This window comes from Homo sapiens, chromosome 9 (genome assembly GCF_000001405.40).
Source record: "Homo sapiens chromosome 9, GRCh38.p14 Primary Assembly".
In the NCBI taxonomy this organism is placed as follows: Eukaryota; Metazoa; Chordata; class Mammalia; order Primates; family Hominidae; genus Homo; species Homo sapiens.
The window spans coordinates 69,127,676-69,154,271 of record NC_000009.12 but is presented as its reverse complement, the minus strand read 5'-3'; the positions used below and the strand labels follow the sequence as shown (position 1 = coordinate 69,154,271).

The following is a 26,596-nucleotide window of genomic DNA, read 5'->3' as shown; positions in this document are numbered from 1 at the left end:
CTTAACTCCAGGCAGCCACCTAGCAATTGATCCAAACTGGCCTTAGAGAGAAACCTTTTTACTCGTCTGAGTTAAGGAGTTAAGTCTTCAAGCTCTGTAGAATTAGTATAGAAATACAAATCTCACTGAACTTGGAAGTCAGGGGCTGTGCAACCACAAAGGAATCATTTAAAATCTTTGAATCTCAAGTTCTTTATTTACAAATGGGAGCTAGTTAATACTTTCCTCTTAGGGTTGTTGTGAGGAGGAACCATATGGGTGAAAGCACCTTGCCCCTTGCTTGGCACATAAAAGGCCCTTAATGAGTGTTTGCTGGATCTGAAACTAGGGCGACGTGAGATGCCTGGGAAAAAAATCCACATCACTCAAGCTCACCCAAGGCTGATTCGTCCCAGAAAGCCAAGCTTAAGTGTTTACACATGAAAGAACTCTGGAGTAAGGCACTGACTTAGGCAATCAAATTGATGTTGGAAAGGCATGCAGTTCATAGTGCAGGTACAGGGAACCAGAACAAGGGAGGTATTTATCAGGAGGGGCTGGCTAGAGTCAGAAAGAGCCTTTCCTCCAACAGACAATGCTAGCTCCAATCTCTCTTTGCCATACTCTATAGTACCCCTCCAATTTATTTGAATAATCAACAGATCCTATCTAGAAATCTAAAGATTTTAGGAGAACAATTTTTTTCTTTTTTGAGACAGTTTCTCTGTATCGCAAGGCTGGAATGCAGTGGCACGATCTCAGCTCACTGTAACCTCCACCTCCTGGGTTCAAGTGATTCTCGTGCCTCAGCCTCCCGAGTAGCTGGGATTACTGGCAGGCACCACCACGCCTGGCTAATATTTTGTATTTTTTGCAGAGATGGGGTTTCGCCATGTTGCCCGGGCTGGTCTCAAACTCCTGGGCTCAAGCCATCCTTCCACATTGGCCTCCCAAATTGCTGGGATTACAGGCATGAGCCACCGCGCCCAGACAAGGAAAACAATTTCTGGAGTCTGAGCAGGTATCTGTCTTCTCATGTTTGGGACGTTTTTTTGTTGCTGAGATAGAGTCTCACTCTGTTGCCCAGGCTGGGGTGCAGTGGTGCAATTATAGCTCACTGCAGCCTCGAATTCCTGGGCTCAAGCGATCCTCCCACCTCAGCTTCTCATGTAGCTAGGACTACAGGAGCACACCACCATGCCCAGCAAATTATTATTATTATTTTTTTTTAAATAGAGACAGGGTCTCACTATGTTGCCTAGGCTGGTTTCAAACTCTTGGCCTCAAGCGATCCTCCCACCTCTACTTCCCAAAACAGTGGGATTATAGGTATGAGCTGCCTTGCCTGGCTGGGACCTTTAAGAGCTCCAGAGGGCGGAGCTTGCAGTGAGCCGAGATCGCACCACTGCACTCCAGCCTGGGCGACAGAGCGAGACTCCGTCTCAAAAAAAAAAAAAAAAAAAAAAAAAAAAAAAGAGCTCCAGAGAGAACATTTCAGTAAACAAAACCCACATCCAGCCCTGTTAATTCAGTGGAAAATGAGGACTTCCCCCACTTGAATGTCCTCATTTGGACAACTAGACACTGAGAAAGGCCTTAGCATGGGCCTGGTACTTGCTGGGCCCATTAACTCATTTAGTTTCATGTCGACGTTCCCTTTTTACAGATGAAGGATCTGAGGCTCAGAAGCATTAAGACATGTGCCCAAGATCACACAATTAGAAGGCAGCAGGACTAGGATCTGAACGACTATCTGCTCTTCTGGAGTGTGCCATTCACACTCCACTAAACTCCAGTTCACACATTTATCTGGAATCCACCCAAGTAGGGGCTGCCAACTTCAACAGACAGGAATTATAAAACAAGCACATGAAAAAAATTACAACCCCATTCCAGCTAGCCATGGCCTGGCCTATAAACAGAGGTCAAAGTGTAACAAAAAACAAATGCATCCCACATCTGTCAAAATTTAAGACCTTGTAAATCTCATTTGATTCACTCTTAAAAGTGAATCAGTAAATAGATAATACTCGCTCCTAGCTCTTTCACTAAAAGCTTGGACATAATTAATCTTTAGAAGCCAGTGTGACTGATGTCCTTTATCTTTTCATCAAAGTGCTTACCACTGTTATATAATTTTACTACCTCAATGATAATGAAAAAATATAACCTATTAAAATGACCTCCAATCCCAGACATCATCAGCACCAAATGCCAATTTAGGCATTTATTTTGAACCACAGAAGTTGTACTTACTTACATGCCAGAAAGGTCATCCTCAATAAGCATTCACCAACCATGGCAAAGTTATACCTATCAATTCAGTCCATTAATTCAGGTAAGATGTTTCTATTCTTTGGTAAATAGGACATTACCATTAAATTTTCTATGAAAATGTATATATCAGCAACATCAAAAATGGTAACTCTGACTACCTCTAGAATGTGAAAACGGTAACTATTCGAACAAATTTTGGGGGAGACCAGTAACTAGGTTGATGAGAGATTAAATAAGCAAATACCTGGCAACGTGGGCCGTGTACTGGTACAGCTCTGTGCTTCCTGGAGTACTTGCTCCTGGAGCTGCAGCCGGGGTGCCAATCCCACTCACAGGGAGATGACAGTAATGTGGTACTTCGCACCCTGGAAAAGACAGTGTTGTTAAAAATCCAACATGCTCATTCCCTGCAATGGTAAGATTTTGGGAAATGCACTGAAGTCCACATACCATACAATTTGCCCGTTTTTAGGATGGCTTTTAGTACCTTCACAGAGTTATGCAACTGTCACCACAATCCTTTTTTTTTTTTTTTGAGACGGAGTTTTGCTCTTGTTGCCCAGGCTAGAGTGCAATGGTGTGATATCGGCTCACCGCAACCTCTGCCTGCTGGTTCAAGCAATTCTCCTGCCTCAACCTCCCGGAAAGCTGGGATTACAGGCATGCGCCACCACGCCCGGCTAATTTTGTATTTTTAGTAGAGACGGGGTTTCTCCATGTTGGTCAGGCTGGTCTTGAACTCCCGACCTCAGGTGATCCACCCACCTCGACTTCCCAAAGTGCTGGGATTACAGGCGTCAGCCACTGCGCCCGGCCCACAATCCATTTTAGAAGATCTTCATTAACCCCACAAGAAAAGCCCCATAACCATTAGCCATCATTCCCTGAGCCCCCAATTCTCTCTCTGCCTCTTGGCCCTAGGCAACCACCAATCTAATTTTTTACTCTATAGATTTATCTATTCTGGATATTTCATATGAATGGACTCATATGATATGAGGCCTTTTGTGACTGCCTTCTTTTACTTAGCATAATGTATTCAGGGTTCATTGATGTTATAGCATACATCAGCACTTCATTCCTTTTTATGGCCAAATAATATTACATTGTATGGATATACCACATTTTATTATCTATTCTTCAGTTGGTGGAAGTTTGGGTTGTTTCTACTCTTTGGTCATTATGAACACTTGTGTACAATTGTTTATGTGGACATATGTTTTCATTTCTCTCAGAAATAATGGAATTGCTGCCCCTGTTTTCAGTCTTCAAAAAATGGAGAAAGTGAATTGCCACCTAAACTTTGGTATCACCAGTCCACCTGAGGGTCACTCTGAGAAACAAGATCTTATAAGAATTCGCCTTTCAGGTTAAACAAATATCAGCGGGTGAGAAAATAGCTAGAACAAAATATTTTAGGCTGGGCATGGTGGCTCACGCCTGTAATCCCAGCACTTTGGAAGGCTGAGGCGGGTGGATCACCTGAGGCCAGGAGTTCGATCAAGACCAGCCTGGCCAACATGGTGAAACCCCATCTCTACTAAAAATACAAAAATTAGCTGGGCATGGTGGGGAGGTGCTGTAATCCCAGCTACTCAGGAGGCTGAGGCAGGAGAATCACTGGAACCCAGGAGGCAGAGGTTGCAGTGAGGTGAGATCTCACCACTGCATTCCAGCCTGGCGACAAGAGTGAAACTCTTGTCTCAAAAAAAAAAAAAGAAAAGAAAAAAATTTTTTATTATAGTAAAATACACATAACATAAAATTTACCATTCCAAAGTATACTACAGAGAAAACATTTTAAACCAAAAGGGAATTTGTTTTTCATAGCATTTATAACACTGGCTTGTGTTTATGGTTTTGTTTTTTGAGACAGTCTCACTTGTCGCCCAGGCTGGAGTGCAGTGGCACAATCTCGGCTCACTGCAACCACCGCCTCCTGGGTTCAAGCAGTTTTCCTGCCTCAGCCTCTCAGGTAGCTGGGATTACAGGCACGTGCCACCACGGCCGGCTAATTTTTGTATTTTCAGTAGAAACAGGGTTTCACCACGTTGGCCCGGCTGGTGTCGAACTCCTGACCTCAAGTGATCCATCCACCTTGGCCTCCTAAAGTGCTGGGATTACAGGCATGAGCCACCGCAACTGGCCTAGGCTTGTGTTTATATTTATGGGTTGCTCACCAGCAGGAAAGATGGCAAATACTTTCTCGTTTTACCCCTAAGACCAAGAAAACCCAAGAAATACCCCTTCTGCAAATTCTTATGAAGCCTGCATGTGCCTTTCGAATACCACAAGGAGGCAAGCTCCTTTCTGGGTTGAGCTTGTGAAGGCAGCTTCACTCGGGCAGTCACAGGAAAAACTTTCAGTGGGAGGAAGAATGCAGCCTCTCACCACTTCTGGACATACTCTTCTGTTTGCTAGACAAACTGATATTGTGGCGTCTGTGCAAAACACTCTACTCCCTACACGATGAAATAGAAAGAAAAGATGGTGTCAGTTTTATTTGTACAGGCGGGAGGCACATTTCCCTTCTCCCAGGATCAGCAGGAAATGTAGGCAAAGGCTAAAGCTATGCCATCTGGACATCCTACAAAGCAAGCAACGGGATTAAAGCCCAGCCCATACATGGTTTCTATTATTACTTCCAAAGATAAATAAATGGCTTACAAATCGAGAGGTACTTAGTTATGCTTTTGGCTTCATATGCAAACTTTTCTACAGGTATCAGCTCCAAGGAGAGCTTATTTCTTTTATTAAAATGGCTTGCTTTTTAATTTAAGGAGTTTTCTGCATTTCTAATGTATCCTGGCTTTAACTTTCTCTATAATAATCCAAGGAGTTTTTTCATGTATACAAACCCCCAATAACAATCAGTTGTTTCTAAAATACACTATTATTGAATAGGGCCTCTAAATTAAAAGAACATTTGGCAGAAAGAAATAAAATATATTCTTGGATTTCAATAGTATTGAGAGATAATGTAAAATTGTCAGGTAACATGAGTTAAAGCTGAAAAACTTTACAGATTTCAAAAGGAAGATTCATAGGTGGCTGGGTATTTTAGGTTAGTATTTGGGTATCAATTATTTTTATTCTATCTTTCTCCATTGTGGCTATACTGAAACCGAGTTAGCACTGGAAAATATTTGTTGAGCACCTACCATGTGCTGGGCAATGGGCAAATATACACATGTGTAAATCATCCAATCTCTGTTTCAATGAACTTGCAATACTCAGTCAATTGTCGGTTGGTAGCCATTCGTTTTGGCCAATCATGCAACTGTACAGTTTGCAGAATAGAAGCCCAAGCACATCCCTGCTTGCAGACAGCAAGAAAAAGTATTACAGAGGGGGGCGGTGGCTCATGCCTATAATCCCAGCACTTTGGGAGGCCGAGGCGGGTGGATCACTTGGGGTCAGGAGTTCGAGACTAGCCCGGCCAACATGGTAAAACTGCATCTCTACTGAGAATACAAAAATAGCTAGGCATGGTGGTATCTGTAGTCCCAGCTACTTGGGAGGTGGAGACAGGAGAATTGCTTCAACCCGGAAGGCAGAGATTACAGTGAGCCAAGATCCTGCCACTGTACTCCAGCCTCCTGGGCGACAAAGTGTGACTCCGTCTCAAAAAAAAAAAAAAAAGTATTACAGAGGGGGAAGCATGAGAAGAATGAATGAATTCCTTGAGGTTTTAAATACTGGATTATAACCTGACTTCCAATTGTGGCTTTTTTTTTTTTGAGACTGTGTCTCAAAAAAAAAAAAAAATTAAAAAAAATATAAAAAAGAAAGGGCCAGGCACAGTGGCTCATGCCTGTAATCCTAACACTTTGGGAGGCCAAGATGGGCAGATCACCTAAGGTAAGGAGTTCGAGACCACCCTGACCAACGTGGAGAAACCCCGTGTCCACTAAAAATACAAAATTAGCCAGACGTGGTGGCGCATGCCTGTAATCCAAGCTACTCGGGAGGCTGAGGCAAGAGAATCTCTGGAACCCGGGAGGCGGAGGTTGCAGTGAGCCAAGATTGTGCCATTGCACTCCAGCCTGGGCAGCAAGAGCTAAATACTGTCTCAAAAAAAAAAAAAAAAGTGATCAGTGAAATGTTTTATCCCTGTGTATTCACAGAACTCAAAGAGTATTATAGGTACAAGGAAGATCTTGTTCGTCCTCTGATCCAATGCTATTTCATCCAGCTTAAGGAAACGTTCTCTCTCTCAAAAAAAAGGCACATTCAACTTCCCTTATTAAGGGCTACTTTGTAATAATTTGACTTCTGTTTGGTTTGATTTGGGGAAATGAGGAGAAGCAGAGATCTATTTAGGTCTATTTAGGGTACTTATTCCAATTGCTAGTAGAGGTTATCTCTGAACAAAAATTAATAATCTAGCAATCAACTTGCACATCTGAATCATGGGAGCTTGTTTAGGCCGAATCCCTTCATGAAAGACCCTGAGGCAGAAACTAAGAACATCCCGTTTCTGTCTGAGAGCCAGGCCCTTGATCAGGATGACTCCAATGAGGCTGAGTTTCCCACTTGTAAAATTCGAACACTAAACTAGAATTCAGGAATGGTAAATATATAGGCCACGGCTTGCATCTCCCCAATTCCCTAATCATAGGTTCAGAACAAACATCCCTAATCAGTTGCGATATTCCTTTCCCGCTAAGCCCAGGTTTGGCCTCCAGGTCCTCCTAGCTAGATACTCCAAGCAGCCAACCATCAACTGGCACCTGTCTTCCACATGAAACCTGTTTGCCATCCCTGGCAAAGGTCCTCCCAGTTCTAAACTTTCGTCATTCTGAGACTAAGGTCTAGGCTACCGCATGCCCAATCACGAGAGGCTACTTGGAGAATCTCAGTTTAGTCATTACAATGTTTTCCACAGCCCTGGCTGAACAGCATTAACCTACATGGACTCTGATAGAGTCTCTGTATGCCCCCTGCCCTCTCCACGCATATACACACTTCCATTTACTTTCAAGACAATAACAGTAGAATAACAATAATATAATTAAAATGTTGCCTCAGAATTCCATTCTAAAGCATCTCTAAGATTTCCCAAAGAAATATTTATTTTTTTCTAATAAAATGTACCCTTTTACAGATGGGAAGAAAACCTATCTAAATCAAATGTCTCACCAGTGGCACCGTTGACACTGTGGGCTGGATAATTCGTTGTTGCAGGGGGCTGTCCTGTACCTTGTGGGATGTTGGGCAGTATCCCCAGACTCTACCAACTAGATGCCAATAGCAACCCCTGGGCTATAACAACAAAAAAAATGCCCCAGACATTGACAATTGTCCCCTGGGGAGCAAAATTCCCTATTTCCACCTCCCCGTTGACAACCACTGACCTAAACGATTCTAGTAGTTCTCTTGGGGAGATAGGACAATGGGTAATTTTCCCCCTTATTTTTCTGTATTTTCTAAATCTTCTATAATGAATGTACATTGCTCATATGATAAAAATAAGCTAGTAACTATCTAATTGTTAAAAAGAAATATTTGCTACACAGATGCAAGTTGATCAGTACATGCTACTGTGTGACTCATTCAGTTTGAAAATTAAATTCAGGCCCTAAAAATATCGTCTACCATAAAGGCACCTTAAATTCACCTTGTCTTTAATGTGTAAGAAGCACAAAAGAAGACTTCAGAGAAGAAAGTTAGAACTAAGGCTTGTAGCTATGCATAAAGAACTTCTCAACCTTTCTTCATCATGGTAAATCAGTGGGGCTGCAGAAAGAGATGTGGAAGGAAAACTGCTGTTTCAAGCAAAGTATTTCCCCGAAGCATAGTCTGCACATACACTTTAATCAGAAAAACACTTGTATTGTTGAAAAACATTATAGTAATAAGGCATATTTTCTTCATTCTTAAGAATTGCTACATTTGTAAACCATGTTAAAAAAACATTTTCAAAATCAGAAAATTAAATGTCTAGATTGTAAAAATGGGCTCTAGACACACCCATTATTCATCTTCTTGGGTATTAGAATATTATCCAACAATTTCATTCCTATTTTTAAATCAGTCTAGGAGTTCCATTCTCCACCAAGAAGAAACAAGTTCTTAATGAAGAACTCATTTATTATCCCCACAAGACAGAGGACCCTTTTTTCTATATGGGTCCCCAAAACAGACAAAAAGTATTTACATCTATAGTGAGAAGCTTCCAGCCTCCTCTGCTTACCCAGGTTGTTGCCAAAGGTTCACGTGTCTTCTGCTCTCAGGTAGAAGTTCTCTTTTGTTAAGTGGGGTAATACCAACTGCTGCTTCCAGAATACCGATATATTTCTTGTACCTCATCTTGTCTCTCTCGGTACAAGGTCCTGTAAATTTCAGTCACTGTTCACCTGAAGCAACTGAACTAATCTTTAATGGAAGCTGCTGTTCCTTTGGATGTTCTCTATGTAGCCCTAGCTAGATCTATTAAACACAACCGTGGTGATGGGGGGGCAGACCACAAATAAAGAGAACGTCTTTCAGATTTCCCTGCAATGGCAGTATTATACAAGGCTAAATAATTCTGAATAAAGCACTAATGAAAATGATTTGCAGGAATGACTGCGGTTTTAAACACGGCGATCTAATGTACACTCCAATTAATCCGCACATAAATCTTTGAGGCCGCTAATCCTTCAAGAACTAATGGCTCATGAGGTGATTTATCTCAAGGTCTGGTAATAATTGGTCCAAAAAGCCTGCCTGCCACTGGATGAACTAAAATCAGAAACAGATTTGCTCTTTCTACAAATATCTCTCTCTCTAAAAGCCTGTGCTTTGACAAGTGAGGAAGGAATTCTAGTTGTCATTTTATAGCAATGCATTTCTAAGCACTATAAACTCCTTGCTTGGGTCAATAGCAAAGATTAATTAATTAAGAAACAATTTGGTGGGTTTTTAAAATTATTATTAAAAACAACTTTTTAAATACCTCTAGAACCCAACATGTGTGATCCCTGCCATCATGAAAATATATCGTTTGGAGAGGTTCAGAATCTACCTCATCTCCATTTTCTTTAAGTCTCCTCTTGGCTTTGAAGAGCTTCCTTACCCTTTGTCCATGGGTAAAGGTGGACCACCTATCATGGTGGCCCACTCAATGGGCCATGGTACACATGATCCACATACTGGGTCAACCAGTCTTCCCTGGGGTGAACAGATGACTGTAGGAGGGAAATGTCCTGTTTCCATTGGATTTGCTAACCAGGGCTGATAGGAAGTTGGAGCTCTTGATAGTAGTCATGTGCCCCGCCACATGGAGAGGGCTCTTCACTAGTATTACAATAGTTGAGAAAAACAGTACCAAGAAAAATGTCATGACATCACTCGAGCTTCTGGATCCAGCTATGCCGGAGGCCACTGTCACCCTAGGAGATTACAGTTATCGTTTATGAAAGCTAATAAATTGACTTTTGTGAAATTTAATTTTAGTTGAGTTTGTCACTCTGAGAGTTCTGACTTAAATAGCTCCTTCCTCACCAACTTCTTCAAGCTATTTTTTTTTCCTATTTGATGTGCTATGGCAACATACAAGAGTCATGCTGCTCCTTGTCTAAACAAACCCATACATAAAGGGAAGCAAAATAGAAGGGGAGCCATTATGCAGTAACTCTGATTAACCTAGATGTCCAAAGTGAGTGTCCCAAACCCTTCCCCATCCCCGCAAATCTTAAACCCTACTTCTACAGATTCTCTTTCCTCAATAGCAAGTTTCTTTTGACCTAAATGACCTAAATCTCCAAAGTGAGGTGCACATACCAACAATCTTTGGGATGTGGGAAGAAAGTATTATGCCATCTATTTCCTCTTTTCTTCTCTCATGCTTTAAAAATTTGAGTGTTGCTGGGCACGTGGCTCACATCTGTACTCCTAGCACTTTAGGAGGCTGAGGCAGGAGGATCACTTGAGCCCACAAGTTCGAGGCTGCAGTAAGCTATAATCGTGTCATTTTATTCCAGCCTGGGTGACAGAGAGAGACTCTGTCTCAAAAAAATAAAAAATAAAATTGAATGTTTGTGTTTTGAATATTCATAATATTTACCTTGAGAACTAATATCTTTTAAATTGTAATAAGGTACACTATTTACAAACTAATATACTCATGTATACGGTAGAGTGTACTTAAAAATCTGACAGGGGTATATGAGTGTACTTAAAACTCTGACAGGGTATATTACAGTTTGGTGACTTTAAATAACCCTTCAACTACTCCCTAAGCCTCAATTTCCCTGTTTATAAGATGAGAGGACTGAATAGATGAAGGCTAAGTTTTCTTCCAAAAACAACAAAAGACCAAGAGCTCCCACTTCACTTGGCCTGATTATGCAATTAATATAATCTGACCACAATAAAGTAAAAAACAAGGGCTAAAGCATTTGGTCTTGGAATATTTCATTTCCATAGTATTCATGAATATTACTCCCACTGGTTGTTCTGCAAACAATTAGTACCAGTTAGTCCCAGGAATTCTTTTATAGGCTGAACTTGGTTGGCTACAGCTGCCACCTCTGAGTAAAGGTCCCATACAGCCCTCATTTAATCATACAGGAAGATGTAATTACACTCACACAACAGTCATTGTTCTAACAAATTGTATTTCTGATGACGCATGATAAAAATTACTATACAACACTCTAAATAAGTAACAAAGCCTGAGCTAACAACAAGAAAAAATCAACTTAAACTTGTTACCCATTGGAAGCTGTTCTCCTGCAGTGAAAAGTGACATGATATTTTGCAAATGGGATGTTTTAAAGTTTCATTTTTTATTGGAATTTTCGATGCATTTAACATGCAGCTCTTACAAAGTGATTCTTATCTATGATGATTTCACATAAAATTAAAATTGTGTCTTTCATTAGGAAAATAATTCTGCCTTAGCAAATATTAGAAAGAATTTGCTTTTCTTCCATAAATCAGACTGTTCAACTTGCTAATTTATTTATTCATTTTTTAAAATTGTCATCTTTGTGTGGAATCTCTCATAATTATACATAAGGTTAATAACACAGGAAATAACAAATCTAGCCAAAATACCCCTTCCAGATATGACACTTCATAATTCTAGAAATTATTTAGAAATATGCATATATTGGGTTAATTCCCTTACAATTCTAGAAATTGTTTATAACTGGAACTATTAACTAAAAATCATTTATCTATTAAAAGTGTTTTTAAATATACATGATCCAAAAAAAGCTTTTAAGTCAGGATGCTCAAGTTTTCTTTCTGGATGATTAAAATTGAACATAAAACTTCACAGATCAGACTGACATTTCCTTTCAACTAATATTTCTACTTTATTTCTTCTGGAGAAAGACAGTGGCCATGCTTCTTCACTGGGTGTTTTAACAGTTACTGTGCTTTGGAAGTATAAAAAGGGAAATGAACTAATGCCCTGTACAGTCTGTTTTATAGGGTGTGGTCTGCTTTTCAGGAGCTGAAAAAAGCTTTAACTAAAAGTAGAAGAGTTAGGGAAACAGCAATTTTTTTGTTTTTGCTTTTTTAGCTCTACTGAAAAAAGCATTTCATTTCTCTCCTCCTTAATATGCTCATAAATAATATCTTTACATATTTGCTACTCAGATGCCCCACCAATACACTGTAAGAAAAGCAGATTACGTGATGTAAAAGAATTACCAAAGAGTTAATAAAGTTTAGTGTGGCTCTTTTAGACTCACCTGCTCAGCCCAAACTAGCCTTCTCTCCTCAGAGTCATTCATCCTCAGAACATATTCACTACTAGGTTTAAACTATTACCTTCAACTGGATGTCATCAAATTTATCGTTCCAATCCTGTCCTCTGGCACAACCCAGTATCTATTGGAAATAACCCATGTGCCCAGCGCCAGCTACAGTGCCCCTTGCCTTTTCCGGCTTCTGTGCATCCACCTCCTGGTTCACCCAGCATGAGACCTTGAAGACACCCTCATCCATTCCTGTGTGTCCCCAGTCATACCAACCCCATGACACAGGGGAAAGACTTGGTTTGAATCCCACCTCTACTGTTTAAGACCTGGTGACCTTGAACAAGTTACTGACCTTTCTGAACCTCTGTTCCATCATTCGTACAGCTAGACTAAGACCACAACACAGGGCTTGTTTTAAATAATAAATGCAGCCAGGTGCTGTGGCTCACGCCTGTAATCCCAGCACTGTGGCAGGCCGAGGTGGGTGGATCACATGAGGCCAGGAGTTCAAGACCTGCCTGGCCAACATGGTGAAACTCTGTCTGTACTAAAAATACAAAAAAGCCGGGCATGGTGGTGGGCACCTGTAATCCCAGCTACTCGGGAGGCTGAGGCATAAGAATCGCTTGAACCAGGAGGTGGAGGTTGCAGTGAGCCAAGATCATGACACTACACTCCAGCCTGAGTGACAGAGTGAGACTCTGTCTCAAAATGAATTAATAAATAATGCCGTAATGTATATACATTCGGTGGATATCATCCCTCCCTCCCTTCCTCTCTCCCATCTGTCCTTCTTTTTCCATTCCTAATGCCTCTTCAGGAAGAGTGGTCCTTGTGGGAAAAACAGTGAGACTGAAAGACAGGCTGGCTGGAGGGTACAGGGACCCAAGGGCTGGAGTGGGCGGTGGAAAACACCACAAAGAAAGGAAAGTAGGCTCCTGGGTCCTGCTCGGGGGAGCAGAGGAAAGGGGCCTGGCTCTGGTGGGCCAACTGGGGAGGCCCTCCCTTATGGTTGTGATACGTCCTAGATTTTTAACCCCTGCTACTGAATAGTTCAAGCCAACATTAAAATCACTTAATTGACTGCCCTTCCCAAACAACTTGCATATATATAATAATTCATGGATTCTCTGAGTACTCTCAGTCCTAAGAAATAAAAAACTTTCAGGCCGGGTGCAGTGGCTCACGCCTGTAATCCCAGCACTTTGGGAGGCTGAGGCGGGTGGATCACCTGAGGTCAGGAGTTCAAGACCAGCCTGGCCAACACATAGTGAAACCCCATCTCTACTAAAAAAATACAAAAATTAGCTGGGTATGGTGGTGCACGCCTGTAGTCCCAGCTACCTGGGAAGCTAAGGCAGGAGAATCACTTGAACTTGGGAGGCAGAGGTGGCAGTGAGCCAAGATCGCACCACTGCACTCCAGCCTGGGCGACAGCGAGACTCCGTCTCCCAAAAAAACAAAGAGAAATAAAAAACTTTGAACTCCTTATGTGAGGGAACACCGCTCCCTATTACTGTTGGTAGAAATTGATCCTACGCTGTTTCTACTATGAGCCTAGAATTGTAGGATTCTAGCAGTTCCCTTGCCTGGGAGCACATGAGCGATGAGGTGTTGCACAGAATTCAGAATCTTGGCAGGAGCTGGTTTAAGACAAGTGTGGCCTGGCCATTCATTGGGTGAGGGGAATATCAGTCACCTCTGCTCTGGAATTTTAGGAAAGGAACACCCCTCACATCAGAACTGGGAACTTGGTAGTGACTATACCGGGTATGAGGTGTTGAGATACAGCAGTTGGCTGACAGCAGCTGGAGAGAGTAGTTCACATGATCCCACGCTGCACCTGCTGACACACCCCTCCCACTCTGTAGCATGAATTGGGGGGCCACACTGCCTGAGATTGAAGTCCAGCTCCATCACTGACTAGCTGTGTGGCTTTGGAAGAGTCAATGTCTCTGCCTCAGTTATCTGTAAAGCAGGGCTAATAATAGTGCCTACCTCATAGAGTTGTTTTTAAAATTACACCAGTTATTACATGGAAAGCACTGAGCACATGTAACATCCAGCACATAATATACACCGTGTAAGTGTATTTTAATTTCTTTGCTGACTAGTTGTGGCTTCATTTCTTCCAAAAAGCTTTCTTTCGTTGAATCCCCAGACTGGGTTTGGTGTTCCTATTCTGCCCTCTCACATACTTTGGGCTTCATCAATTAAAACTGGAACACGATGACTTAAAATGTGTTTAAGCACCTGAGGAGGAAAGAAGGAGGCCAGGGCAGCTCTGAGGGTGTTTGAGTTCCATACTGATCTAAGCCTGCCCCCAACGCTCACGGCAGCGGTCGCCTACTTGCTCTAGACGAAGGTTTGGCTCCAGACAGAAGCCTGCCCAGTGACCACAGTGTTGTGACCTTCCTGCTGGCCAGGAAGGCCCCAGGGGACTCTGTGGCAGTATAGGGCCCTATGGAGGAACTTTGTCCTGCTACAGAGCTATTGCTCTTGGTAAACCTAGAAGACACGGCCGAGTTCGAGACAAGGACCTGGCTATGGGAGACCTGGTCTCGCTCTCACTGCTCATCAATGGGAGATGGTGGCTGTGCCATGAGCTGCTGCATTAATAGCTCTCTTGGTTTTAGGTAGAATTTCTTATTCTGCCTGAATTAGTTTCCTGGGGCTGCCACAACAAAATACCACAGACTGGGTGGCTTAAACAACAGAAATTCATTATCTCATGCCTGCGAGTCCAAGACCAAGGTGCTGGGAAGGTAGGTCCTGCGAGGGCTGTGAGGGAAGGAGCTGCTCCAGGCCACTCTCTCTGGCTTGGGAAGGCCCATCTTTTCTCTATGTCTTCACATTACCTTCCCTCTGTATGTGTCTGTGTCCAAATTTCCTCCTCTTATAAGAACAGATTGGATTAGGGGCCACCTTAATGATCTCATTTTAGCTTGATTACCTCTATAAACACCGCATCTCCAAATAAAGGCACATTCTGAGGAACTGGGGGTTAGGACTTGAACATAGAAATTTTGGAGGTGGGAAATATAATTCAACCCATAACACTGACTAAAGTAAAACATTTTGTTTGGTTGGTTGGTTTTTTTGAGATGAAGTCTCACTCTATCACCCAGGCTGGAGTGCAGTGGCTCAATCTCAGCTCACTGCAACCTCCGCCTCCAGGGTTCAAGCGATTCTCCCACCTCAGCCTCCCCAGCAGCTGGGATTACAGGTGTGAGCCACCACACTCAGCTAATTTTTTTGTATTTTTAGTAGAGACAGGAGTTTTACCATGTTGGCCAGACTGGTCTCGAACTCCTGACCTCAGGTGATCTGCCTGCCTTGGCCTCCCAAAATGCTGGGATTATAGGCCCGAGCCACTGCACCCAGCCCCCTTTATTTTTTTTGAGATGGAATCTCACTGTGTCACCCAGGCTGGAGTGCAGTGGTGCGATCTCAGCTCACTACAACATCCGCCTCCCAGGTTCAAGCAATTCTCCTGCCTCAGTCTCCCAAGTAGCTGGGATTACAGGCATGCTCCACCATGCCTGGCTAATTTTGTATTTTGAGTAGAGATGGGGTTTCTCCATGTTGGTCAGGCTGATCTCAAACTCCCGACCTCAGGTGATCCTCCCGCCTTGGCCTCCCAAAGTGCTGGGACTAGAGGTGTAAGCCACCATGCCCAGCCTCCCGGCTGCCTGGCTAATTTTTGTATTTTTAGTAGAGACAGGATTTTGCCGTGTTGGTTAGGCTGGTCTCGAACTCCTGACCTCAAGTGATCCGCCCACCTCAGCCTCCCAAAGTGCTGGGATTACAAGCATAAGCCATGGTCCCTGGCCCTTTTTTTTTTTTTTGTAAAGTTCTCATCCAGTTTTGTCTTGTGATGGAAAAAGGTGAAAGCCCAGAAGTTCCTGATGGCCTGGATCTGTCCAGCCCTGTGACTGAGCCCATTATATACTTTATAGCAAACCAGCTGGGAAAAGAAAATCCTCCACCCTCAAGATAAGCCAATGTCTGATACGTGAGAACAATCTAGGCTCTGGCAGCAGAAGCCAAATCCATCCAAACTCAAGAGGAAGAAGCTAAAACCCACTTATAACTATTATGAGCAAACAAAGACATGGGACCTCCAGACAGCATGGAGGGTCTGGGTATGGAACGGGCGGAACGTTGGTTCAAGATGAGAGAACTGGTAATGCCTCTTGGAGAAGAGAACAGGGCTGTTAAGTTGGAATCAGGATGGAGATCCTGTTGATGACAGGCAGAACGATGAGGCCAGAAAGTGATTGATGTTCCAAAGTCAAGCATGCCTCTGACCAACCAAGTGGGAGAGAAAAATCAATTCTATACTAACCCTGTGGAAGAACAGAACAGAAAAGCAGACCCAAAGGGGCATCTTAAGATGTCTGGATTGAGCTGCCCAAAGTCTTCTGGAGAGAGGAAATGAAATGACTGCACATTGTCACGAGAAAGAAATGGAGCCTGCTGAGATATTACCTGTCAAAGTAGAGGAAGAGGAGGAAAGATCTGAGGCAAATGACAAGATGAGCTGTGACCAGGAGATCTGGGGACCCACAGAAAGAGATTCAAAGACCTTGAAGAAAAGCTGGAAAGTTTCTTCTTCTCAAGGCCAGATTCTGTCCCTTGAAAAAAAAAGCTCAGCTGAGTACAGTGGCTCATGCTTGTATTCCCAGCACTTTGGGAGGCCGAAGCGGGCAGATCACTTGAGCCCAGGAGTTCGAGACCAGCCTGGGCAACATGACAAAACTCCATCTCAACAAAAAAATACAAAAATTGGCCGGGCCTGGTGGTGCGCATCTGTGGTTCCAGCTACTCAGGAGGCTGAGGCGAGAGGATCGTTTGAGCCTGGGAGGCAGACATTGCAGTGAGCTGTGATCACACCACTGCACACGTTGCAGTGAGCTGTGATCACACCACTGCACACTCCATCCAGCCTGGGCAACAAAGCAAAACCCTGTCTCAAAAAAAAAAAAGAAAAGAAAAGAAAAGAAAAGAAAAGAAAAGAAAGAAAGAAAGAAAGAAAGAAAGAAAAAGAAAGAAAGAAAGAAAGAAAGAGAGAGAGAAAGAAAGAAAGAAGGAAAGAAAACAAAGAAGCTCATGATCATTGGTTGAAGAGTGTGGGCAGCTGGACAAAACCTCAGCTCATGACGAGAGGCTGCCGACCTGAGAAAGAGAATAACCAACAGAACAATGAAACTCGAGCCACATAATTCAGGGATCAGGCAGAGCTAAGGAACCTGGCCTGGATCGCACAGCTCCTACGCAGCAGGGCTGACTCCTTCCACTCTGCTCAGTGCCTTCTGGAAGTGGATCCTCTAGCATCTGATGACACACACAAAGCGTTGCCCTGAGCAGTGGTGCTGCTTCCTCGGAGACAGGAGGGTCCCACACCCCCAACCTCTTCCCTCTCCTCCTGCTCTTTCCCAAATCTGTTTCCAGTGAATCCAAATGTGGAGTTCATGACAAGAGGATATCCTCTTCCTTCTCCTTCTCCAGGAAGCCTGAGTGAACACACCCTACCACCATCACCAGGCTTCTCACCAAAGGGCCGCTGTCCTCCTCATCCTCTCCTTCTCCCTCATGGGCTGAGTTTTTCCCAGACACCCCCAACCAGGAAATGGATGTAGTTTCCTCCTGCATTCACTGAGCTTGCACATGACCCTAGTAGTCAAGATCCAGAAACACCGCAAAGTCTTTAAGACACTTTGTTCTAAATTTTCCTGTAAAATATTTCCAAATCATCTACATTTATTTTTAGCTAAAAAAAAACTTTTTTACATAAATGGTTCTATATTTTCTCAAACTGTATTATGATTTGATTAGTATTATAAATTTTAGGATACCTTTTACCATCATTGAAGTTATTGTCATTATAGTATACACTCTACTAAAATGAACTGTACATTTTAACTTGATGACTCAGCTCATTATTTATTCATTTTTTTCAGTAGAGATGAAGTCTCACTATGTCACCCAGACTGGTCTCAAACTTCTGGTCTCAAGTGATCCTCCCGCTTTGGCCTCCCAAAGTGCTGGGATTATAGACATGAGCCACTGCACCCATTATTCTTAAAAAACATATTTTTTTGTCAGCAGTTCAGCCACGAGACACATTTGAAATTGCAAAACACTTTCCTCTGCTATTGGTTCTATGGACCACAGTTACAAGACAAAGATAAAAGTTTCTTGGTGGTATCAAATTTGAATTGACATCAAGAAATAATATCTCTTTGAGCATTCTGAGATAGCCTAAAAGGTAGGTATGATGTCATAGTCATCCTTCTATCTCTAATATCTCTCCTCACTCAGGAACTAGCACTTGACTGACGTCCAATAATATTAGAGTTTACTTCTTAATTAAGAGTCAGGCAAGTATAATGATTAAGACCCTACACTTGGCTGGGCACGGTGACTCACGCCTGTAATCTCAGCACTTCGGGAGGCTGAGGCAAATGGATCACATGAGGCCAGGAGTTTGAGCCCAGCCTGGCCAACATGGTGAAACACCATCTCTACTAAAAATACAAAAATTAGCTGGGCGTGATGGCGCGAGCCTATAGTCCCAGCTACTTGGGAGGCTGAGGCAGGAGAATTGCTTGAACCCGGGAGGTGGAGGTTGCAGTGAGCCGAGATCACGCCACTGCACTCCAGCCTGGCAAAAGAGTAAAACTCCGTCTCAAAAGAAAAAAAAAAAATCAGCTAGGTGTGGTGGTGCATGCCTGTAATCCCAGCCACTCAGGGGGCTGAGGCAGGAGAATCACCTGAATCCGGGAGGCAGAGGTTGCAGTGAGCTGAGATCGTGTCACTGTACTCCAGCCTGGGTGACAGAGCGAGACTCTGCCTCAAAAAACAAACAACAACAACAACAAAATCCTAGACCCTAGAAGCAGACTGCCTGGTCAGAATCCCAGCTTCACACTTAATTAGCAAATCACTTAAATTCTTCAGGGCCTGGGTTTCCTCATCTGTAAACCGGGGATAATAAATAATGGCCATACCTAGTGAGATTGTTTGAGAATGAATTTTAATGACTATATGCAAAACATTTAGGTCCTGTCCCATTCAAAGAGCTATTAAGAGTGCCAGCCATGATTATTTACTCAGCAAATCGTTATTGGCCTGGGTTGCTAAGGACTGAGTGTTTGTATCTCCCCAAAATTCATATGTTGAAGCCCTAACCTCCAGTGTGATGCTATTTGGAGATAGGACTTTTGGGAGGTAATCAGGTTTAGATGAGGTCATGAGGGTGGGACTCTCATGATAGGATTAGTGTCCCTACAACAAGAGAGAGAATGAGAGAAACAGATCTCTCTCTCTCTCTCTCTCCTCTTCTCTCTTCTCTCTCTCTCTCTCTCCTCTTCTCTCTTCTCCCTCTCTCTCCATACACAATGCATCCAGGAAAGGCCATGTGAGCATACAGCAAGATGGTGGCTGTCTGCAAGCCAGGAAAAGGGTTCTCACCACGAACCTGACCATCCTGGCACCTGGTATCAAACCTCATGTCTCCAGAGCGCTGAGAAACAAATGTCTGTTACTTAACCCACCCAGTCATTGGTACTTCATTATAGCAGCCCGAGCTGACTAAGACACAGGTCGTAGGCCCAGCTCAGACAGGTCTTTCAGCTCGCTGGGTGGTACTTCCTCTATTGACCCTGGGTTCCTCGAACCCAGTTTGTCTTGCTTGAGTGGAGCACTTCAGCCTTCCAAGTGGACACTTAGATCTTGCTGCAATCCTGCCCTCTGGCAGCTGAGGTGCCAGTGACCACTGCTTCACTATCCGCCTCCTAGCTCTCCAGGTGTGCACCCCACAGGACCAGCCCTTCAGGCCTCCAACACCACTCACACTCCAGACAACAGCCCCACATTGCCCAGGGTATCAACATTCCAACTTCCTATTTCTCCCTCTTCCCAGGAGAGACTCCCTGCACCTGCTGTGGGACTTGTGTCACTGCTTAGTCTCTAATTGTTATATTTATGTTTACCTGTGCACCATCTGCCTCCTCCAGACTGTAAGCTCTGCTCTGAGGGCAGAGACCTATTTTGCTGACGTTGTATCCATTTCACGTTGGGTGTTCCAGTCCAACTCCACACTCATTCATTCACTCCCTCTACATCCCCTGAGCTGGTCCCTATCAAACAGTCTGATTGGCACTGGAGATTCAAATAATACCAAGCCATCCTTGCCTTCAAAAATCACCCAGTCTAATGCTGCAACAAGCAACTGCGACCCAGCATGCTGTAATACGGATGTGAGTGACCATGGAACCAGGGTAGGACATAGGAGAGCATGAGCAATCCTGTCCGAGGGACTTGGCTTGGGAAAGAGAAAGAGAGAAAAGAGAAAGTACTTGAGTTGGGTCTTAATAATAGGAGTACATATTCCTTAGGCTGACAAAAGAAATCTGGGGCATCCAGGTAAAGAGAAAAGTGTGTTCAAGAGCCAGAAAAATGAGGCTGGGCATGGTGGCTCACATCTGTAATCCCAGCACGTTGGGAGGCTGAGGCAGGCGGGTCACTTGAGGTCAGGAATTCGAGGCCAGCCTGGACAACATGGTGAAACACTGTCTGTACTAAAAATATAAAACTTAGCTGGGCATGATGGTGCACGCTGTAGTCCCAGCTACTCAGGAGGCTGAGGCAGGAGAATCGCTTGAACTCGGGAGGCAGAGGCTGCAGTGAGCCGAGATCGCGCCACTGTACTCCAGCCTGGGTGACAGAGCGAGACCCTGTCTCAAAAAAAAAAAAAAAAAAAAAAAGCCAGAAAAATGAAACAGGAAAGCATTCTTAGACCAGCAAGCGGAGCAGTGTGGCAGGAATGCAGGCTTGTGTGCACCCATGAGCCCAGGGCTGAAGGGGATGCCTCTGAAGTGACTTGCAGAGTGAAGATGCAGCAGACGCCAGTCTTTCCGGAGAATACACACCTATCCTTGGCTAGGCGTCGCTAAGCCATTATTTAGTGAACATTTCTACTGTGCCAGCCCCTGAAATAAGCACTCTACATACACGGCCTTGTTTAGTTCTCACAACAGCCTTAAAAGAAAGGATGGGCACAGTGGCTCATGCCTGTAATCCCAGCACTTTGGGAGGCCGAGGCAGGAGGGTTGCTTGAGCTCAAGCGTTCGAGACCAGGCTGGGCAATATGGTAAAACCCTGTCTCTACAAAAAATACAAAAATTAGCCAGGTGTGATGGCACATGCCTGTAGTCCCAGCTGTTTGGGAGGCTGAGGTAGGAGGATCACTTGAATCCAGGAGGCAGAAGTTGCAGTGAGTCGAGATTGCACCACTGCACTCCAGCCTGAGCAACACAGTGAGACCCTATCTTAAAAAAAAGGCAATAAATTCTCCCTGTTTTTAGATGAAGAAATGAAGAAATCTAGGCACCAGGTGACTAAGTAACTTGCCCAAGGCACACAGGTAATAAGTAGTAGAGGTGTGATTCCTACCCAGGTTGGTCTGATTATAAAATTCATGCCTTCTGAACTCCCACTAAGCCTACCAGGTAGGTACCCTAGGGCCTTTGGTATATCCCCATAGCAATGAATTTAACTGCCCCTTTCCTCATTCATTCCCTCTAGAAGTGGGTCTCATGAGAGCAGAGAATTTACCCTGCTCACCGTGGTATCCTTAGCACCTTGCCACAGTGCCTCAAAGGGCATAGGCATTGATAAGCGCCTGTTAAGAATGAATAAATGGATGAATGAATGCACAGGACTTTGAACTCTTTTCCACCCTTCTCTATCCGTGTAGTGCAGGAATCCCAGTTATCATTCTGAACCCAGGATCTAGGTGCAAAACCCCAGTTCACTTCCTTCCACCTTCTCCTGCAGCACCAGGCCCCGAGGCTGCATTAACAGATCCCTTCTCCAAGTTCAGGGGTCCCCACCACCATCCTCACCTGCCACTCTCATCCCCATCCAAAAGGTAACATAGCAAGCCTGACTGTTATCCTTTGAAAGACCCACTTACAAGGTGGCTCTCAGCTGATGCCTGGGAATTTGGATTCCCACCACTGCCAGGACTGGTAAGAGTCTCACACTGTCCTTAAACTGTACAACCATGTGGTTTATGCTGAACAGCTGCTTTCCTTGTGTGAGTCTGAAATTTGGGTAGCTGGTAGGCAGAGGACACCAGTGTAACAATCCCCCAGTAAAAACCCGGGGCAGTGAGTCCCTTATAAGCTTCCCTGGTTGATAACATTTCACATGTGTGGTCACAACTAGTTGCCAGGGAATTAAGCACATCATGTGTAACTCTACTGGGAGAGGAGCCTTGGAAGCTTGTGCCTGCTTGCCTTGGACTTCGCTCCAGTACTTCTCCCCTTGGCTTATTTTGCTTTGCATCTTTGAGCCATAATAAATCATAGCCATGAGTACAACTCTGTGCTGAGTACTGTGAGTCCTCCTAGTGAATCATTGAAACTGGGGGTGGTCTTGGGGATTCCAGGACACTCCCTCTCCACAGATGCAGGGTTGTGAAATATTTCCTTTCCAGTCCTGTCCATTAACCAGAGGAATCACACACCCAGGGCCTACAGGGGCCAGCAGGAATGTTCATCTGTGCAAAGGGCTGAGTGGGATCAAAGGCAAATTGGAAAGTCTAAACTAAGGAGCTGCTACTCAGTTCCTGACCATACAGCAAGTCACCAGGCAGTTGGTTTACAAGCACTGATATTAAATCACTTTGCTCTCTACTAACAACAGATGCCCCAAATGATAACAGAGAACACCTTGGGGCAGGCTTTGGCCTCTTTCCGAAACCCAAGAGAAATATTTTACATCCTCAGACGCAATGAGGATTCCTTTAAAATGAAATATACAATCAAATTAGGGGATGTTTCTCTCGACTTTGTGACGTGAGTGGGAAGAGTAGAACACAGCTCACTCTCAGAGGACCCAACACCAGTGGGCCACTGCCCTTCTTGGATTTCTTTCCTGTAGCAAACCTCCTGACCTTCACAACGTGGACTGTCAAAAACACTTCCATATGTCAGCACCCACTCTCAGAATCGGCTTATATCAAGTTATGCTAAGATGACTGCATGCCTAAAGCTATTAAGCTGAGCAGGCAAATACACACAAGGACACAAACTCCAGTTTTAGAGATGACAGTCACTCCTCGCACAAAGAAATCTTGCTTCTGGTTTGCAAAACTCATCCTGGTTTTACGTTAATTATCAGTGACAGGCAGAAAGAGGGAGAGAACTTAGTCATGATCCCTGGGACTACGGCCAGAAAGACTAAAAGAATTCCCTTTCTTACAGGAAAGTCCACATGTGACTCTGTGGCCACAAGCAGCACATCCCACTGCCCGGGGATGCTGCCCTTCCTGAAAGAATGGTGGAAAGGCCAGGCCTGCACAGCTACAACACCTACCATCCGGGTGACCACTCAGTCCCTCCCCTGACACCAATACCCATACATGTCCTCACTCTCCTGAACCTTTACATAGGAGTTTGTGGGTCTTCACTCACCCAGGTCTCCTCATAACCCTCTGTCCATTTCTTCCTTATCTCTCAGCTCTGTTCTTCCTCGCAGCCACCCCTCCCCACAGTATTCCTCAATTCGTCCTCAGCACTTGTCTATGCGCCCTGCTTTGGCTGGTACCCACTTCCACAGCTCCACCAAGCCCCTGCACACACAGGATGCCCAGACCAGCCTCAAGCCCGGCCCCTTCCGTCATGCAAGTTCCAGACCTGCACTTCCAAAGGCCTCCAAAGCACTGGTTCTCAAAGCGGGATTCCCAGAGCAGCAGCAGCAGCATGACCTGGGTGGGCACTCGTTAGAGACACAGATTCTTGAGCCCCCGCCCCAGATCTACGCAATCAGAAACTCCAGGAGGGGGGCCTGCAATCTGTATTTTGACAAGCCTTCCAGATGGTTCAGATGCAAACTAATGTTTGAGAATCACTGCGCTACACACTTCCACTCACCTATCCCACTACTGTCTCAAAGAACCCTCAAATGGAAGTTTTCTTTTTCTAAATCCAGCTGACTTCCCTAGTTCTCTGCTATTACCAACATTTCCCCATAATACAAGATCCAAACAGTATAACCTGAGGTCAGGTTATAGCGAGCCTCCAAAACACAACAGATATTTAAGAAACTCAATACTGGCTTGTGACTGTAGAGAATGAAGAAAATTCTCTGTGGCTACAAAGGAAAAACACTGCCGTGCAGCTTGGGAAACAAGGAACAAAAATGCACTGACTCGTGAAAAATGTCTTATTAATCTACTCTTTTTTTACTTTCTTTTTCTTTTTTTTCTTTTTCTTTTTTTTTTTTTTTTTGAGGCAGAGTTTCGCTCTTGTCCCCCAGGCTGGAGTGCAATGGCGTGATCTTGGCTCACTGCAACCTCCGCCTCCCGGGTTCAGGCGATTTTCTTGCCTCAGCCTCCCAAGCAGCTGGGATTACAGGCACGCCACCACGCCCAGCTAATTTTTTTATTTTTAGTAGAGACAGGGTTTCACCATGTTGGCCAGGCTGGTCTCGAACTCCTGACCTCAGGTGATCCTCCTGCCTCAGCTTCCCAAAGTGCTGGGATTACAGGCGTGAGCCTGGCTTTGGTCTCGAACTCCTGACCTCAAGTGATCCGCACGCCTCGGCCTCCCAAAGTGCTAGGATTCCAGGCGTGAGACATCGCACCCAGCCTTAGTCTACTCTTCTTTTGGCAGTACTTGAGAATAAAATAAAGAGTACCCTAATAAAATATATAGACAATGTATTAATATGATTTTTAAACTATATTATTGTATATTTTAGTAAGTAGAATTGACGGGGTTTTTTTTTGTTTTTTGCGACAGGTTCTTGTTCTGTTGCCCAGGTGGAGTGCAGTGGTGCAATCACAGCTCACTGCAGCCTGGACCTCCCAGGCTAAAAGGATTCTCCCACCTCAGCCTCCTGAGTAGCTGGAAGGACAGCACACGCCACCATGCCTGGCTAATTTTTCATATTTTTAGTAGAGACTGGGTTTCACCATGTTGGCCAGGCTGGTCTCGAACTCTTGGATTCAAGTGATCTGCCCAAAGTGCTGGTATTACAGGCATGAACCACCTCATCTGGCCCTGACAGATGTTAATCAATAAATATTTTGGTGAAAGAGTTTAAAATGTCCACCATGTACACTAGTCCGTTTGTGTGTATGTATTATTAACATTTTAGTGTATGATTATTTTCATGGACATTAAATCAGCAGGTAGAATAGTAAGTCCCTGCTTACGTACTCCCCATCAACCCCAAGAAACTACGTATTCATTAATTCTTCATTCAAATCTTTAGGAACATCAGGTATTACACTAGGCCCAGAGGCCTAAGCCGCAATAAATTCCAAAAGAGCAAATGGCTCAATTTACATTTTCAGTATGCTTCTAATCTAAACCATTGAAACTGGAGAATTTATTCAAAACAGAATTTCCTCTTTCCCTATGTCCTTTTCCCTTGGAAAAGAATCAAGAAAAAAGTCCAGGAATAATAATCTAATAGCCAGGCGCAGTGGCTCACGCCTGTAATCCCAGGACTTTGGGAGGCCGAGGCGGGCGGATCACGAGGTCAGGAGATTGAGACCATCCTGGCTAACACGATGAAACCCCGTCTCTACTGAAAAATAACAACAAAAATTAGCCGGGCGTGGTGTTGGGCGCCTGTAGTCCCAGCTACTCGGGAGGCTGAGGCAGGAGAATGGTGTGAACCCGGAAGGCAGAGCTTGTAGTGAAACGAGATCACTCCACTGCACTCCAGCCTGGGCGACAGAGCCAGACTCCATCTCAAAAAAAAAAAAAAAATGGTCTAATAAGCACATGAAAAAATAAATATTCAACATCATTAGCCATCAGAGAAGTAAAAACCAAAATCACACACCAACTAGCGTGGTTAAAATTTAAAAAGACAGACAACAGTAATAATGTATGTGGATGCAGACATGAAATTGGAACTCCAAATACCTGGCTGATGGGACTGTAGAAGAATATGGCCACTCTAAAAAACAGTATGGCAAATCCTGAAAATATTAAATATGGAGTTACCATATATTTTCCACTTCTAGGTATGTACTCTAGCAAATGAAAATGTATGTCCACATAAAAACTTGTACATGAGTGTTCATAACAACATTATTCATAATAGCCAGAAAGCAGAAACAATCCAGATGCCCATAATGGATGAATGGATAAGCAAACTATGACATGTCCATGCAATGGATGATTATTCAGCAATAGAAAGAATAAAGTACTGGCCTGTCATGATGGCTCACACCTATAATCTTAGCACTTTGGGAGGCCGAGACAGGAGGACTGCTTGAGACCAGAAGTTCAAGGCTGCAGCAGTGAACCATGATTGTGCCACTGCACTCCAGCCTGGGCAACAGAGCAAGATCCTGACTCAAAAAAAAAAAAGGAACAGATACATACTACAATGTACATAAGCCTTTAGTCACCATGTTGCCCAGGACTCAGGTGATCCTCCCACCTCGGTCCCCCAAAGGAGTGGGATTACTGGAGTAAACCACGGCTCCCATAGATAAACCTTGCAAACATGCTAAGTCAAAGAAGCCAGACAATGAAGGGCCACATAGTCTATGATTCCATTTATATAAAATGTTCAGAATAGGCTAATCTATAGGGACAGAAAGTAGA

General features: G+C 44.0%; 1 protein-coding gene across 9 annotated transcripts in view, besides 1 other annotated feature; it reads right to left on the bottom strand.

Moving 5' to 3' along the window:
* TJP2 (tight junction protein 2) overlaps positions 1-26,596 on the bottom strand; it is a 133,945-nt gene that overhangs the window by 100,937 nt on the left and 6,412 nt on the right. For all 9 annotated transcript variants that reach the window (XM_011519206.3, XM_011519208.3, NM_001170414.2 and 6 more), the window contains one exon: positions 2,501-2,621. The gene's annotated coding sequence lies outside the window, so the exon portion shown is untranslated. The remainder of the gene's footprint in view (positions 1-2,500; positions 2,622-26,596) is intronic.
* Positions 23,083-23,612: an enhancer, noted in NCBI's record as "H3K27ac-H3K4me1 hESC enhancer chr9:71745576-71746105 (GRCh37/hg19 assembly coordinates)". NCBI's record gives its function as "activates a minimal SCP1, AML or CMV promoter by ChIP-STARR-seq in naive H9 embryonic stem cells {active_cell/tissue: H9 hESC(naive)}" and the evidence as "EXISTENCE:reporter gene assay evidence [ECO:0000049][PMID:30033119]".